This window comes from Homo sapiens, chromosome 3, assembly GCF_000001405.40.
Source record: "Homo sapiens chromosome 3, GRCh38.p14 Primary Assembly".
NCBI classification, from domain to species: Eukaryota; Metazoa; Chordata; class Mammalia; order Primates; family Hominidae; genus Homo; species Homo sapiens.
Genome location: NC_000003.12, coordinates 193,263,331 through 193,280,398, shown reverse-complemented (window position 1 = coordinate 193,280,398; position 17,068 = coordinate 193,263,331). Strand labels below are relative to the sequence as shown.

At 37.6% G+C, this 17,068-nt stretch overlaps 2 protein-coding genes across 10 annotated transcripts in view; one reads left to right on the top strand and one right to left on the bottom strand.

Moving 5' to 3' along the window:
- The window catches only part of ATP13A5 (ATPase 13A5), a 103,965-nt gene extending 98,355 nt beyond the window's left edge, over nt 1–5,610 (top strand). For all 3 annotated transcript variants that reach the window (NM_198505.4, XM_047448075.1, XM_017006305.1), the window contains 3 exons: nt 945–1,033; nt 3,569–3,649; nt 5,097–5,610. In NM_198505.4, the coding sequence (NP_940907.2) occupies nt 945–1,033; nt 3,569–3,649; nt 5,097–5,357 (431 nt within the window). In that variant the 3' untranslated portion in view covers nt 5,358–5,610. The remainder of the gene's footprint in view (nt 1–944; nt 1,034–3,568; nt 3,650–5,096) is intronic.
- PLAAT1 (phospholipase A and acyltransferase 1) overlaps nt 1–17,068 on the bottom strand; it is a 40,821-nt gene that overhangs the window by 1,028 nt on the left and 22,725 nt on the right. For 5 of the 7 annotated variants that reach the window (XM_047448626.1, XM_047448625.1, NM_001366112.1 and 2 more), the window contains one exon: nt 9,544–9,795. In XM_047448626.1, the coding sequence (XP_047304582.1) occupies nt 9,694–9,795 (102 nt within the window). In that variant the 3' untranslated portion in view covers nt 9,544–9,693. Of the gene's footprint in view, nt 1–401; nt 2,764–3,141; nt 3,435–9,543; nt 9,796–17,068 lie in introns of those variants that run through there. The other 2 variants (XM_011513034.2, XM_011513035.3) reach the window with 2 other exon arrangements.

Sequence of the window (17,068 nt, the reverse complement as noted above, 5' to 3'; positions counted from 1 at the left end):
ACTCTTTGAAGAGGAAGTGGTATTTTAACTGGTTTAAGAAAAATTGGAGGCCAGGGGTGTGGCTGATGCCTGTAATCATAGCACTTTGGGAGGCCGAGGCGGGTGGATCGCAGGTCAGGAGTTCGAGCCCAGCCTGGCCAATATGGTGAAACCCCATCTCTATGGAAAATACAAAAAAAATTTAGCCATGCATGGTGGTGGGCGCCTGTAGTCCCAGCTACTTGGGAGGCTGAAGCAGGAGAATTGCTTGAACCAGGGAGGCGGAGGTTGCAGTGAGCCAAGATCGTGCCACTGCACTCCAGCCTGGGTGACAGGGACTCTGTCTCAAAAAAAAGGAAAGAAAAATTGGAGCATGCCAAGACAGGAAGATTATTATGTACACAGGTACACAGGGCTTTTTTTTTTTTTTTTTTTTTTTTTTTAACAAAGACACAGAAGCTAGAGAGTGTTGGGCCTCCGTGGAAGCTGGAGGTTTTATGGTTTACCTTTCCAATTGCCCATAAGGAAGAGCAGTCAGAGACCAGGTTAGAAAGGCTGATTGGGACCAGATTGTGGAAGGCCTTGAATGTCAATAGAGGATCCCTGAACTTTATTCTCCAGGCAACGGGGAAGAATGAGATGGTGCCAAGAACACTGACTGTTTATCCCACGCAAGCACAACTCACTGGACACGCAGTGATAGTGCACCAGGGCAGCTGCTTTATGGAGGTTACTTTAATACATTTGATTAACAGTCTCTACATCCAGACTTTCAAGGAAAGATTCTAAGATATTACCTTCATCTTATAAGCATTAGAACATATTTCAAAACATATGAGGATATATCAAAACATCTGAAGATATATCTGGTATTTGCCCAACAGAGATAATTGATTCTGCAATGTGTGCCAAATTATATGAAACATTCTTTTAACATCTAAAAATAATGTTTGGTATTTCCTCAGATATATTTTCATTTCTGCTGCTAGCTGCCTTGGGCCTCACAATTTTCATTCTGTTTTCTGACTTTCAAGTTATATACCGTGGAATGGAGGTAAGTGGCATTCATTTGCACATCTGGCATGACTCATGTACATGGACCATGTATTCATTGTAATTCACAAGTCAATTATTACTGTATTCTCTTTGACCACCAAATACTGTGAGGCTATTTCTATATACTAGAAGGGCAAATAAGATATCTGGATTTCACCTATACTGGCCTCTAATGGTTTTCATATTATTAATATTATTGGGTACATTTATCCTGTACCTACCTGAAATATTGTTTGGATACTTTATTATGCTATGTTATACCAATACAATAAAATTAATGCAATAATACAATAATTTTCCAAGTACAATTTTCAAAAAAATAAACCATATCATAGAAATCCTTTATAAAGTAGTTATAAAGGGAAAGAAAACATAGACTTATAAGACAGTCATGTTTTGTCAGATATTGACTACATGAAGTTTTATATCAGTGGATATAATTTGATCCAGGATGCCCTGGGTTAAAATCTAATTCATCAAGGCTATTGAACTAATTCTTGGACCCCGTATTGTGAGAGAAATAAAAGAGAAGGGTTGGCTCCTGATCTCCGAGTCATAGATTTGTTGTGAAGATGAGACATACTTGAACGCTACCTGAGGCTATCCATACTTGAAAAGAGTGTGAAGACAGACAGAACTGGGAAGAACATAGAAGAAGGAGGCCCCACTGTGGACTGTGGCTGTCATGGGAGGCATTTCATTGATGAGATGCAACTTGACCTGGGTTCAAAAGAATAGGCCACATTTTGCCAGGTAGGAGGTAGGGATATTCCCAATAAGAACAGCCTAAGACGCAGAGAGGACTGAAAGAGGTTTTGTTTTAGAAATGCAAATGAATGTACGGTGGCAGAGACAGAAATCAAAAGCAAGGCTTACCCAAGCACTAGAAGACTGGCTAAAACTGAGGCCATGTGCTGTGGAGTATGAACAAGAATGAATAATAAAGGCAGGCATGGATGGATGGAGGCAGCTAGAGAAGTTTAGACTTTATGCCAAGGGCAACATGGAGTGAATGAAGCTATCTGAGCAGGCTTCTCAGCAGGGCTCTGAAGACAGACTAATTAGATGACGGCAGGAAGACTACATGTGAGAGGAGAGACAAGCAATTAGGAAATGAAAACCCAAGTCATTCATTTATCAAACACGAAGCTCCAGAGTGAGTTTGGTACTAGAGTTACAAAGATGAATAAGGTGTGGTCACTGCTCTCAAGTAGTTTAGAAGCTAGGGGAGAAGACCATTGCATAAATAAATAATTCCAGGGTCAGGCATGGTGGCTCATGCCTGTAATCCCTGCACTCTAGGAGGCCAAGGCGGGTGGATCACTTGAGGTCAGGAGTTCAAGACCAGCCTGGCCAACATGGTAAAACCCCGTCTCTACTAAAAATATAAAAATTAGCTGGGTGTCGTGGCAGGTGCCTGTATTCCCAGCTACTTGGGAGGCTGAGGCAGGAGAATGTTGCAGTGAGCTGAAATTGTGCCACTGCACTCCAGCCTGAGAGAGCGAGACTCCATCTCAAAATTAAACAAACAAACAAATAATTCAAAATCAAGTGACTTCCAGGTCAAGGGATGGAGAAGAGTTAGTTCTGGATTGGAGTGGTGGCAGCCATGAGAAAAAGAGCCAGGTTCTCTGCTAGAATCTGACCCAGCTTTTCCAAACAACCCTTTAATCCAAACAACCCTTTACAATTTGCTGTATTTCACAACTTGATTAAGACTGTCTCCACCTGGGGAAAAAAATGACAAAGTATTACTTTGAAATAACCCGTATCAGCATAGGGGTGAGAATTAGGGATAAGCATTTAGATACTACGGAGGGTCAGTGAGTTTTGTTCTCAAGGGAGTTCAGTCCCACACGCAGTCAGCCATAAATATTCCACTCTTGGGTGGGGTCTCAGAAAAAAGGCTGTGTAACTAGCCTTTTGCTATGGATGCAGCCGTGGGAAGTTATGGCTCTCACACTTTAAATAAGCATATTTAATGATTAATGTGTACCCTTAAATTTTAAAAACTGGTGGGTTTGGAGGGTTCATTCAACTTTCATTAACCCATCAGACATAGGGCCAGAAGCAATCTGCATCTAGTCTCAATCAAAATATACTTACATTTCTCTGTCCTCCTTAAAGAATGAATTCCAGGTAGAATTTGCTTTGGGAGAATTGGAAATATTAACATTATTTGATGAATGATTTAATCTTAGCCTTCTGTTTGAAAAGATAAAAATGGAGACAGACACATAGCCTCCAAAATGTCCTGTCTCGTATTTGTGATTCAGGGCACATTTCTCAGTAGGCACCATGAGGCTGTCAAAGGTACACAGGCCAAGAGGTAGTCCATTCTCCTTTGAATTCTGGTTCTGCCATTTATTTATAGGCTTTGAGTCCTTCAGTTGTATTATCTGTAAAGGGACAAAGTAATGCCCACCACTAAGCTCAGAGAGTTATTACAAATCTATAAATTAAATAATTAATATGGTCTTTTTTCAAAGTGTGAAGTGTGCAAAATATAATAATGGTATTTGTTTTTCAACAGTTGATCCCAACCATAACATCGTGGAGGGTTTTAATTTTGGTGGTAGCCCTCACCCAATTCTGTGTGGCTTTCTTTGTAGAGGTAAAGTAATCTCTATATTTTTTCTAGGAAGATAAACAAATTAAGGATCTCATTTTCAGCAGGTGCTTATTTTCTAGAGCAACCACTTTGATCCCCCAAAATGACAGTTATTAAGGGTTTATTAAAATGGTACATATTCTTTTGGAGGAAAATTTTGGGGGGAATGATTTAAAATTATTTGAAGTCTGCATAGAAATGTTCTTGATATCTTATGCATAGAAAGCAAAACATGTATGAACTCTAATTTTGCTTCCATGAATGCACTGTATTGCACTTTTCTAATATTTTCAACAATCTAGTAAAGACTAGACCAGGTGACCTTCCAACCCTAAAACCCAAAGAGACTTTTTAGAGTGAAGAACTGCCTTCCGCAGGGTTTCCATAAGAAAGAGGAGAAGCCGTTGCTTATTCTAGTCAATTCCTTTTCTTGAAGGTCTTCCTCTTACGGTGTTTCTTTTCTACTCAGTGTCACTAAATGACTTTACCCACTTAGTAAGAGGCTCAAGTATTATCTTTGTAAAAGGAGAGTTCTTTTTTGTAAAAGGAGAGTTTTATTTTAACTCATGTGCTTTAAGACTTTTTGGAAAAGGGATCAACCAAATTTTAAAATATATATACACCTCATTATATATGTTTAAAGGGGATTCCATTTTTGAGACTATGTTTTAATAACCCAAAAGAAGAGAAAAATACTACATGTATGAAGGCACTTATCATAATATTATCTACAGTGGCAAAATATTACATTCAACTTAAGTGTTGTTGAGATGCTGTTTGTTTAAATAGCTATACAGCGATTTGAGGAAATGCTAGTCACTAAAAATCATTATTAATCATATTGTACCTACGTTCTTCCCATAATAAAATAAAAATTTTTAAAGGCTAAAGCTACATAAAAATTGTTTACCACAGAAAGTTTAGCATAAATAAAACTGGGATGCAAAATTTGACCAATTTCATTACTATAAATGGATAAAAACTGTGTGGGCATGTGAACAAAAGAAAACTCTCAAAAAATGAAAACCAATAAACATTTGATTTCTAGAGCTCAACACTTTATTCAACAAACGCTTAGACACCTTTTACATGGCAGGTGGCAGGTAGCAAGGCTAATGGTGATTTTTCTTTTCTTCATTTTGAGCACGTTATTGCTGTTACCATTTCAGTCTGAGGGGAAAATCATTCTAAGAAAATCCCTAGCCAGGACTTAACCAGGAAATGTGTGAAAAGGAAATGCTGGAAGCTTCTGGCAGATTTCCGTGAAAACAAGCACCCTCTAGCTTCTTAAGGGCAGAATTCCAGAACTTGGGAAAGGAGAGGTAGATGCAACAGCAATGAGCACACCTCAGAGGAAGGCCTGGGGAAAGGAGGTGGCTGTGGTGGCCAGCGGCCTGGCTGCAGGGGGACCTGCGCAATAAATTGATTGTTTTCCCATCTGATTTTTCAGGATTCCATCCTTCAAAATCATGAACTCTGGCTGTTGATCAAAAGAGAATTTGGATTCTACTCTAAAAGTCAATATAGGACTTGGCAAAAGAAGCTAGCAGAAGACTCAACCTGGCCTCCCATAAACAGGACAGATTATTCAGGTGATGGCAAAAATGGATTCTACATCAACGGAGGCTATGAAAGCCATGAACAGATTCCAAAAAGAAAACTCAAATTGGGAGGCCAACCCACAGAACAGCATTTCTGGGCCAGGCTGTAATCAGAATTGTCGTCGTACATGCTCAACAGCATTGCTTTTTTCCCCAAAATTAACACATTGTGGAGAAGTGATGATACTCTCCCCTTACCTTTCCTCTCTCCATTCAAGCATTCAAAGTATATTTTCAATGAATTAAACCTTGCAGCAAGGGACCTTAGATAGGCTTATTCTGACTGTATGCTTTACCAATGAGAGAAAAAAATGCATTTCCTGTATCATCCTTTTCAATAAACTGTATTCATTTTGCATAGCATTATTTTGTTTAAAATGAGCAGCTGTCATGGTACTGTAGTCAAATTAGTAGTATGAACATCAATGGAAAAAAGAAAAATTGAGGCAACATTTGGTCTTTGAAAGTTTTACTATTAGTTGTCACAAGTTTACTTAAATCTTTGTGAAGAACATTTACATATATATCTTTTCCCAAGGTCACAGTTCCTCTTTTTGTTTCACTGGTATGCTTTTCATAGAGAAACAAGGACCAACATTTACTTCAGAAATTCAACCCTTTCGGAAATTCAACCCTAACTATAATAAGCCAGAATTGTGTGGAAGTGGTAGAATGAAGGAGATGTTTGTTAATTCCATATAATCTTGGCATGGGCACAGTTAATATATAAGCAAATTCCACCAAAGTTTGGCATCACTCAGTGTATAGTGTTTAGGGGCCAGTGAACAGGAAAGTTTAGAGTAGATCACAAAGGTAATGAAATAAACTGTAAAAAGATACTTTTACTTAAAGAAGCATAGCAACATTTACTGCTTGTTACTGACACATGAAAACCTCAAGCTTTTTTTTGAGATGGTGTCTCGCTCTGTCACCCAGGCTGGAGTGCAGTGGCACAATTTTGGCTCACTGCAACCTCCGCCTCCCAGATTCAAGCAATTCCCCTGCCTCAGCCTCTCGAGTAGCTGGGATACAGGCACCCGCTACCATGCCCAGATAATTTTTGTATTTTTAGTAAAGATGGCGTTTCACCATGTTGTCCAGGCTGGTCTCAAACTCCTGACCTCAAGTGATTCACCCACCTCAGCCTCCCAAAGTGCTAGGATTACACACGTGAGCCACTGCACCCAGCCTCAAGCTCTAACTTTAAAAGTCGTCCAGAACTCAACATTACTCATCTTAAAAACAATGCTAGAAAAGGGACTTATATTTGTAACTGCAGCATGACAGTTCTCAGGCTACTAAACAATCTTAAGTTCTATTTCATCTTTTAATTATCTAAATCATCTTACTAGATGCATATTAAATAGCACATGAAAGGGTGCATCCTTTACAAATATATTCTGTACACTATTACCTTTTATATATCACCCTCACCATAAACTTGAGAGAAAATTTATTTCTAGTGAACATTTTAAATTACCTACTGGTCTTTCCTTATAACGATAAATCTGATTTTGCTAATTTAACAGACCATAGGCAATTAGTTAACCAGTTTCATTACATGAGTGCCAATTATGTACCTAATACCATGATGTACGGATTCAATATATGATAGCCTTGAGTTTACAATTCTGAAATCTTTAGGAATGATAAATGTTTCAACATGAAATTCGCTACTGTAAATCATATTATAAATGTTACACAAACCACCAGCATAAATGCAAATTCCTATAAAAACAATCCCTCTGTGTTTACATTTTGTTTGCTTTTTAACCTTTTCTTGTATTCACAGCTCTCTGGAGAGTAATAATTTCTACAATGTGTATAATTTAGCAGCTACTGGTAACAAGACAAAAGTTTTAAAAAGAAGAGATTTTTAGTTTATGATTATAAACTATGTATCAAACTAAAAAAATGGTAGTTCAGGTTCCTTGAGCTGACATCTGCATTTAGTAATTTGACTTTTAGAATGAAAAGATTCAATTGATACACTGTATAATATTTCAATAGCATAAAAAGATTTTTTAAAAAATAGATTCAATAAAGTTATAGGCTTTTTCTCCCCCCAGGTTTTCCTACAACCTATAAGGTTTCTGGTGGATAACGATCTTTATTTCATAATTTTTATTCTTAGAATGTGATAAAGTTGAACTCCATTCCTGACTGTTAAAAATATGCTCAGAGAAAGGTTTAATAGTCTTGGGAAAATCATTTCATAAAAGCACAATGAGCATGATATCAAATAATCACCTATAGGAAAAACAAGCTGGACAGTCTTAAGCTGGCCATCATCAAGAGTAACCAGTTTTATGGGAAACTGATGGCTTTGTGAGCTAACCTCTAAGGGTGAAAACTACCACACCCTCAAACACTACCAATGTGAACATGAATCCATGAATTTAATTTAAAAGTGCATTTATGACATTATCTAGCACAGACAGGACTGTCTTCTGGAGTGGAGACATCCAGAATTCTCCAGAAAGGCTGCACTTGAGGCTCTTAGGAGGTTCTTGACTTCAAATTTTGCTCCTTCTCCCACTGGTGGGTGTAGTAATTCCCCTGCTTCGGGTTAAGATTTGCCCCGTGTAGGCATCCTTTACTGAAAAGGGTACCTTGGGAAAGGTAACACATTATGCTACTGCCAGGCTCATCTTAACTTGACAATACTAGAAAACTGGGTTTTTTTGTTTTGTTTTGTTTTGTTTTTGAGGTGGAGTCTCGCTCTGTCGTCGCCCAGGCTGGAGTGCAGTGGAGTGATCTCGGCTCACTGCAACCTCCGCTCCTGGGTTCACGCCATTCTCCTGCCTCAGCCTCCTGAGTAGCTGGGACTGTAGGCGCCCGCCACCACGCCTGGCTAATTTTTTGTATTTTTAGTAGAGACGGGGTTTCACCATGTTAACCAGGATGGTCTTGATCTCCTGACCTCATGATCCACCTGCCTCGGCCTCCCAAAGTGCTGGGATTACAGGTGTGAGCCACCGCACCTGGCCTGTTATTGTGGTTTTTAACTATTACTTGGGAACAAGGCATAAAAGGAACAGAGACTTGAATTTAGAGTAAAAATGAAAGAGAAATTTTCTCTCATTAGTTCCTGGTAGGAGACACTCACACCCCCACAGAAGACCAGTGGAAGAAGAGAGTCTTTGAGGGTTACTGGAGACAGAGTTGATGCCATAAGAAAGGGAGGGAATTATTGAAAAAGAAGGGACGAGATATAGGGTCTCTGTGGCCTGGACTGCAGCACACAACTCCTTCCATTACCATTATTATTAACCCTGCAGTTAGCTTGTTGAGTATTTCTGGCCCTGGGGTAAAATCTAAATCAGTTTAATAGGTACAAGACTTTCACCGAGTCCTCTGTTCAGTTACATTATGTACTGTATTCCTAGCTTTCTCACTGTATCAACCCCCTAATATTAACTTGAACATTTCCTTTATTTAATGCCAAGCTTTTGATGATAGCATAAGACGGATGTCATTGGCTGGTGGTGTAGTTTATGGGGTCATGTTACAATGTCTGATGTAATCCTAGGTTAGAGAGAGCTGCACTCCCCCTTTCTCCACCTGCTGCAACCAAGAATTTCACTGGAGCAGCATAAAAAGCAGTGTCTTTAATTCAACACATAATAAAATGAGAGAATAAAATTATGACATTCCTTGGCTTGTAAAAAAGTCTTAAAAATATGAGATATTGTTTTCCAAATATGGCATTTTAAACAAACATTTAATGATTGCTTCTCAAGGTTAAAAGGTCAAATCCCTGAAACACTTCAAAATCCAAAGGGAATAATATGTAACACTGTAGAAATAACAGCCCACTCTTACTTGTCATGTCCTCCTGACAAGCAAGTAGATTCCACACAAATCACCGGAACTGAAACCCTGGAGCAAACAGCCTCTCCTCTTCCCATCCACCCTCATCTACACAGGCAGGAAGAAGATGAGGGTGCATTCCCCAAAAGGCTTGTAAATTAGAGTCCCTCAAACTGCCTAACCAAAATGCTAAATTTCCCAGTTTCTTTTCCAACAAGAAAAGAAACATGAATTTGGATGTCAACTCTTAACAATCTGGGGTTCTTAAAATTTCTTTCAAAACCATATATAAATAGTCTTTCATGCCTCTGGCAAAATGGCCACCCTTGGGGAAAAGGAAAATAATATTTATAGTAGAAATAAAATGTGATGAGATTTTGTTAAGATCTTCTGCTGGCTCACTCAAAAGACTACTGCTTCTCCGTTCAAGCTGCCACAGTACATCTATGCTAGCAGGGGAAAAAAATTTCATTGGCTCAATGATAAGATAATATCAGTAAGCAATTTATTAAAGAGTCTGCCATCCATCATAGGAATCTGGAACAGTAATGATGCACTGAAAATAAGTATTCACCCCAGGTTTCTTTTCCTCCTCCCAAATTCCTTCAATATCAATATCTCTTTGGTAAATTGTTAATAGTATTTTGCTCTTTGTCCTTTTGGAAACAAGCCCAGGAATGAGAAGACACCAACAGCAGCTGTCACAAACTCAACGGTACTTATCGCTCGGTTGGCCTATAAGGAAACAAGAAGTAAACAAAAAACACATCATATTCTAAAGACATCTGTGTCCTAAATGAAGCTTTAGCCTGTTTCCTAAACTGAACACCTGTTTTAATGTACAATGGATACATCTAAAGTACAATGCAAAATTAAAATTCTGCATAAAGATGAAGAAATAAATTTATAATTTGTATAATTATGTCAAAGATGTAGATACGTACACATGGGTATATATTCCTCATATTTTTAAAGCACTCTGACAGTTTATAAACTAATTATGAACACAGTTCCCATTCATCATAATAGTACACTGGTGAAAGAGGTTAATATACCACTCTTGTTTTGCAAAACTTGGGATATCATAAGTAGTTTGCCTGAGATCATTCCACGAAGATGTTTAAAGATAGGCTGAGTCTTCTGAAACACACGTTCTTCTCCTATGCAGCTCCTGCCCCTTAAATAAACACTTTGGATTGGTTGGGTCTACACCAAAGTAAGTATCGTGTAAGAGTGTGTGTGTGTGTGTGTGTGTGTGTGTGTGTGTGTTTCAGGGATGTCAAATAGCAAATAATTCAGGGATGTCATCTGAGCTAAATACACATAAGCTCTTATTTGGTAGACACAATTTCTTTTCTGATAAACAAATTTCAAAAAAAGCCAATACTGATGTTAACTATCATGTCAAAAATTAATTTCTCATGTAGACAAACCACTCTCAAGATCAACTGTCCATAAAGGAATTCAGACATTTATAGCTTTAAGGGTATTAATCATCATGATGATGAGAGAACTAATGAATATTCATGGTATTCTTGGCACTCAACTAATATTGCCTTCCATTCAAATGGGTTTGAGTGCAATTTGATGACCCAAAGGTCACATTCGGACACTTCAGAATTATCAAGTACTCTGAAAACATATTTGTTCTCTCTGGGATTGAAGAATCAGGTCTTTCAAATAAAGCAAAATATTTTTCCCAAATGACTCTGGGGAACCAGTCTAAGAGCTGGAAAGCCTAACCCAGGTCATATTTGAGCATGCCCTCTGTCTAACCACAGCCTTCCACCGTGGAACCTGCCACCCACGTATTACTGCAACACAATGCTACCTCCCTAACTGCAGCTTCCCTGTTAGGAACAGGCACAAGGGCCAGGGCCAGGAAAGAGGGACACAACAGAAGTCTTGGCTCCATGTGTTTGCAGCATGTGTTCATTCCACTACACCATCCTGTGGTGGGCAGAGACTAGGCCTGTAATTGTGGCCCACTGTCTCTGCTCCAACCCCCAGATGCCAGGGAGAATGGTAAGGGCAAACAACTTGGCACTAACCCTGAAAAATCCTGTTTTACTTTATAATTTTGATTTTATTTGATTTCTTATCTATTTTATTTATATTTTAATCCTTACCTAAACTATTTCCTAAGAGATAATCAGAATTCACTGTAGCACAGAGCCACCCATATGCCATATTGGGGGAGCGGGGGAGAAGAGGCAGGGAGATGCAGGATATAAGATAAAATCCCAAAGAAGAGGAAGAGTCACTAATTAGACAGGGATCAAGCCCAACCCTAGTACAATTCCAGCAGATAGTGAGATCCCAAGAAGGTCTAATAGAGAGAAATGGGGTAGTCAATAAAAAAAAAATGAAGGTGCAATCAGTGTCTTTAAACAGAGGTGTCAAATGGTAGCAGGGTACGGCCCTTGGAAAATGGCAGGATCCTATAGATGGTGTGGCCCCAGCTAGATGCAGACCTAACTGACTAGGTATCTTTCAGCCACTAGAAACACAAGATGTTAATGAAAGCTGACAAATTTAAGAGGCCTGGTTGGGGGATGGGCAACCTGATCCCAAACCAAAATCCCTAGAGATGACAAAGGCCAGATATCATGATCATAAAGCCACTTTAAGCAGTGCCACTTTAAGACAGCTTCCCCAATTCCAAATGTTCATTTATTTCAAGTCTCATTCTAGATAATGAATCTCATGTAATTGGGACAACCCACTGGAGTTAGGAGTAATGGGATGTGATGTGCAAGATTACAACATCTCAGGATGTTCTTGGTGAACCAACATGAACAAGAACTTTTACTTCACGGCTTACTTTGGATTATAAGGTCACCAAATCCAACTCTGCATTCTTTATCCTTTAGAGGGCTTTCTGTCCATGGGCCATAATAAAGGCCTCGTTCTGGGGATCTGTACCTGGCCTAATGAAACATTAGCTGAACCTGGAGTGGCTGTGTCTAGACAGCAGTATAGCGGGGACACAGACGTGTGGCAGGTTTATCAAAACGCTCTTTCCTAAGGCCTCGTAAGGCTGCAGTCATATGCACCGAAGCACCATCAGGATGTGTTCCTGTGTTGCCTTGTCCAGGCCTACTGAAGAGTGTGGGCCATCTTTGACAAAGATAGAGATATTTTCATAATTTGGTCTATGAGAGTAAAGTATGTTCTTAGAAATTTTGAAAAATACATAAAAGATAAGACACAAACTGAGAGAAAACAACTGTAAAAGACAAATCTGATAAAAGTGTTTTCTAAAATATATAAAGAACTCTTGAAATTCAACAATAGGAAAATGAACAGCTGAATTAAAAAGTAGGCAAGGTCATCAAGAGATACATCATCAAAGATGATATGCAAAGAAGCATATAAAAGATGCTCAAAATTACATGTAACTAGGCAACTGCAAACTGAAACAAGATGCCTATTAAAATGGTTAAAATTCAAAATACTGATAACATCAAATGCTGGCAAGGATGTGGAACAAGAACTCTCATTGCTGAGAGTGCAAAATGTGAAAAGATACATTCATTCAGGAAGATAGTTTGGCAGTGTCTTACAAAACTAAGAATATTCTAACCATATGATCTAGCAATCATGCTCCTTGGTACTTACCCAAAGGAGCTGAATACTTATGTCCACATAAAAACCTGCACATGGAGGTTTATAGAGGCTTTATTCATAATTGCCAAAACTTCGAAGCAACCAAGACGTCCTTCAGTGGGTGAATGGATAAATAAGGTGTGGTAAATCAAGGAAATGGAATATCATTCAGTGCTAAAAAGAAATGAGGAATCAAGCCACAAAAGTACATGAAGAAACCTTAAATACATATTATTACATGAAAGAAGCCAATCTGAAAAAAGCCACATACTACATGATTTCAGCAACATGATATTCTGCAAATGGGAAAACTATGGAGATGGTAAAAAAAAAAATCAATGGTTGTCAGGGATTTGCAGGGAAGGAAGGATGAATAGGTGGAGCACAGGAGTTTTAGGGCAGGAAAATTATTATTTATAATACTATAATAATGGATTGTGTCATTTTAAATTTGTCCAAACCATAGAATTCGTAACATAACCAGCGAACCCTAATGTAAACTATGGACTTTGGTTGATAATGATGTATTAATGTTGGTTCATCAATTTTCACAATGGTATGGTAATGATGTGACATATTGATGAAGGAGATGGCTATACTGGGTGGGGAAGGAGGAGAGAGTTCTATACTTTCAGCTTAATTTTGCTATGAAGCTAAAAACTGCTCTAGAAAATTGAATCTATTATTTTTTTCAAATACAGAAAAGCACAAAGAAGAAAAAAAGATGAAATCATAATCCTACCCTTCTCACCTTTTTTATGCATTACTAGTTTTTAAACTTGGGAAATACATAGCCATTCCCAAGAAAACATTTCTAAGCTCAAGGGCCCTAAGCTTAAAGGGATTCAAAAAACTAATCTAATATTAGCTATTATTAGTAGTAATACTATTAGTTATTGATAGTAATATATAATCCAGTTGCTGCTAGATCAAGATTTTATTGACTATGCTAACAACGATCTATAAAATTCCCGGATACTGTTATGAAAAGTAATATCCACTATGGGCATGCTATTTATTGGGATGGATAATACATAATACAGTATGCTGAGAGACCTCAAATATCTCCATAATCTTTCAAACGATCTGTGTTGATTAGAAGACTGATAAACAGTGGGTTCAAGGACACTCCACTAATAATGGTGATGATGGCATTCTCACTGAGGTCTGTGAACACGAAAGCTTAGGTAGACTCTTAAGGCTGTCACTGCATCATCTTCATCAGAACCTGCCAGAGACAGGTTCTTACTATTTGTTGAAGAAAAATTAATTTTTCATGGGTCTTGGGTCTAGATGTGAAAGGTGAAATGATGATAGATTGCAAGTTATAGTCAAATAAGAAGATGGCTCTAATCTCTTTTTATTTAACATTTTAAAAAATTTGCTTATTTGTAACCACTTTACTGAAGACTGACATGCAAAAAGCTGTAGATATTTAATGTGTTCAACTTGATGTATTTGGAGATAAGCATACCCCCATGAAACCATCATTACAATCAATGCCATAAACTTATCCATCACCTCCACCATGAAACCATCATCACAATCAATGCCATAAACTTATCCATCACCTCCAAAAGCTTCCGCCCACTCCCTTTGTTGGTTTGTGCTAAGAATACTTAACATAAGATCTAACCTCTTAGCAAATTTTAAAGTAGGCAACATAGTATCATTAATCATAGGCCCTATGTTGTACAGCACATCTTCAGAACTTGTCTTGCGTAACTGAAATTTTCTACCCTTTGACTAACATCTCCTCATTTCCAAAAATAAAATAAGTAAACAAATAAAAATTGCTTGGTTAGTGCAGTGAACAACTTTGTCATTAACAAAGAAGAAGAGGAATGGAACCTATTTCCTATCTACACCACTAATTTTCAACGCAAAAGTGAGCAGGAATTTGTGTGTACCCTCTATGTTCTAGCTCAAAAGCAATTTATTGTTACATGTGAGCAGAACATTCATTATGTTAATACATTTCCTAATGAGAATGAATTTCCAATTATTTCCTAATGAAAATAAATATATCCTTTCATTATGTTCTATCTCCCATTTTCCCAAACCTTTTTATTTAAAAAAAAATTTTGAGATCTAATTAGCACACCATATATTTACCCACTGAAATAATGTAGTTCAATGTTTTTTAGTATATTCATAGACTTGTGCAACAATCACAATTTTGAAACACTTCATCATTCCAAAAAGATACCTCTTACCCTTTAGCAGTCTCCCCTGATTTACCTCAACCACCTCAGCCCCAGGCAACCACTAATTTATTTTGTCTCTATAGATTTCCCTATTCTAGGCATCTCATATCGATGAAATAATATAATATGTAGTCTCTTGTGATTGGCTAAGTAGGCAACTTGGCATAATGTTTTCAAGGTCCATACTGTAGCATGTATGAGTACTTCATTTCTTTTTATTATTGAAAGATATTACATTGTATGGATATACCCCATTTTGTCTATCCATTGCCCATTAGATGGATATTTGAGTTATTTCTACAATGCTGCTATAAACATTCATGTGCAGGTTTCCACGTGGACATGTGTTTCATTTATCTTGGATATATACCTAGGATTACAATAGCTGAGTCATACAGTAATTCTACATTTAATTTTAGAGGAATTGCCAGAATGGTTTCCAAAGCAGTTATATCATTTTACATGCCTACCAGAAGGGCAAGAGAGTTCCAATTTCTTCACTTCCTTGCCAACACTTACTATCTTTTGTATTATAGCAATCGTATTGAGTGTGAAGCGAAATCTCATTGTGGCTTTGATTTGCATTTCCCTGATGAAAAATATGTATTCTAGATACGTATCTAAAAAGAGTCCAGTATCCAAAGTACATAAAGAAAACTTACTACTGAACAATAAAAAGGCAAATAATCCAATTTAAAAACGGGCAAATAGGCTGGGCACGGTGGCTCACGCCTGTAATCCCAGCGCTGTGGGAGGCCAAGGCGGGTGGATCACGAGGTCAGGAGTTTGAGACCAGCCTGGCCAACATGAGACCAGCCTAGCCAACATAGTCTCTACTAAAAATACAAAAAATTAGCTAGGCATAGTGGCAGATGCCTGTAATCCCAGCTACTTGGGAGGCTGAAGCAGGAGAATAGCCTGAACCCAGGAGGCGGAGGTTGCAGTGAGCTGAGATCGTGCCACTGCACTCCAGCCTGGACAACAGAGCAAGGCTCCATCTAAAAAAAAAAAGAAGAAGAAGAAGAAACAAACAACAACAACAAAAAAATGGGCAAATAATCTTAATAGGCATTTCTCCAAAGGTGATATACGAATGGCCAATAAGCACATAAATTGATGCCCAACATCATTAGCCATCAGGAAAATGCAAATCAAAACCACAATAAATTTGAATCTTGGGTATAGGGCAGGATAAGTAGGATTTTGAAAAATTAGGCTCAAGAGGTGCAGCGTTTAAATAACACGAGGCTTTGCTAGCCTTCTTATAGATGACATTTTTCCAAGCTTTTGTGAGAAGAATTATAACCTCATTTCTTACTTAGGATAGAAATGTATAACTGATCCACCATTTCAAAATACTGGAAGTCTTCAATAAATGTGAATTATTAAAATATTATGGTATTATCCTTCAAATTTTTAGTTGCCTTTTAAAAAGTTTTCATAGGTAACAACTCCCTGGAGTTCAATCTATTAAATTATTTTTCATATTTTAATATTTTAAATGAACACTTTTATATGTATTTTGGATGAAGAGGACTTTCTTTTGATAATAGTTTTATATATCCATTCTCTTTTATCACCTTAATATTCATTTTTAGTTTACTGGACTGGTGGGACAACAGGACAACAGGTAGGGAAAAGACGAACATGCTGTTAGCTAGAAATTTGTCATACTACAAAACAATGGTAGTAACTGACAAAAATTGTAAAGTACTTTAAAAATAAAGTCAATTAATCTATCAAAAGTCATCCAAAAGCTCAGTGAATCAAAGGATCTACTTAAAGGCACAAAATTTCATTGAAATTAGCAATTGCAAGGAAAAAGAAAACATTCACAAGCCCACTAAGATATGTCATTAGTTAGCCTCTGTCCACCAATGAAAAATAATTTAAGAATAACCATTTGTGATACTGGTAAATAAACTCCCATTCAAAAAGCTCAACATCCTTTCTAGCATATTCTTTTCAGTATATGAGATCACCAATTTGAAACTGCTGTATGGTGAAGTAACAGGAAAAAAAGACTAAAAGGCAGTAAGATTGACAGAATGCTATTGTCTTGATTCTACTTCAAGTCCCTTATAGCTCAAAATTCATAATATTCATGTTTTAGTCTCAGTTTGGTTATTAACTTGTTGCAGGACCTTGGACAACTCAAGTCCATTCTCTATCCTTCAGTATTCTCGTATTTT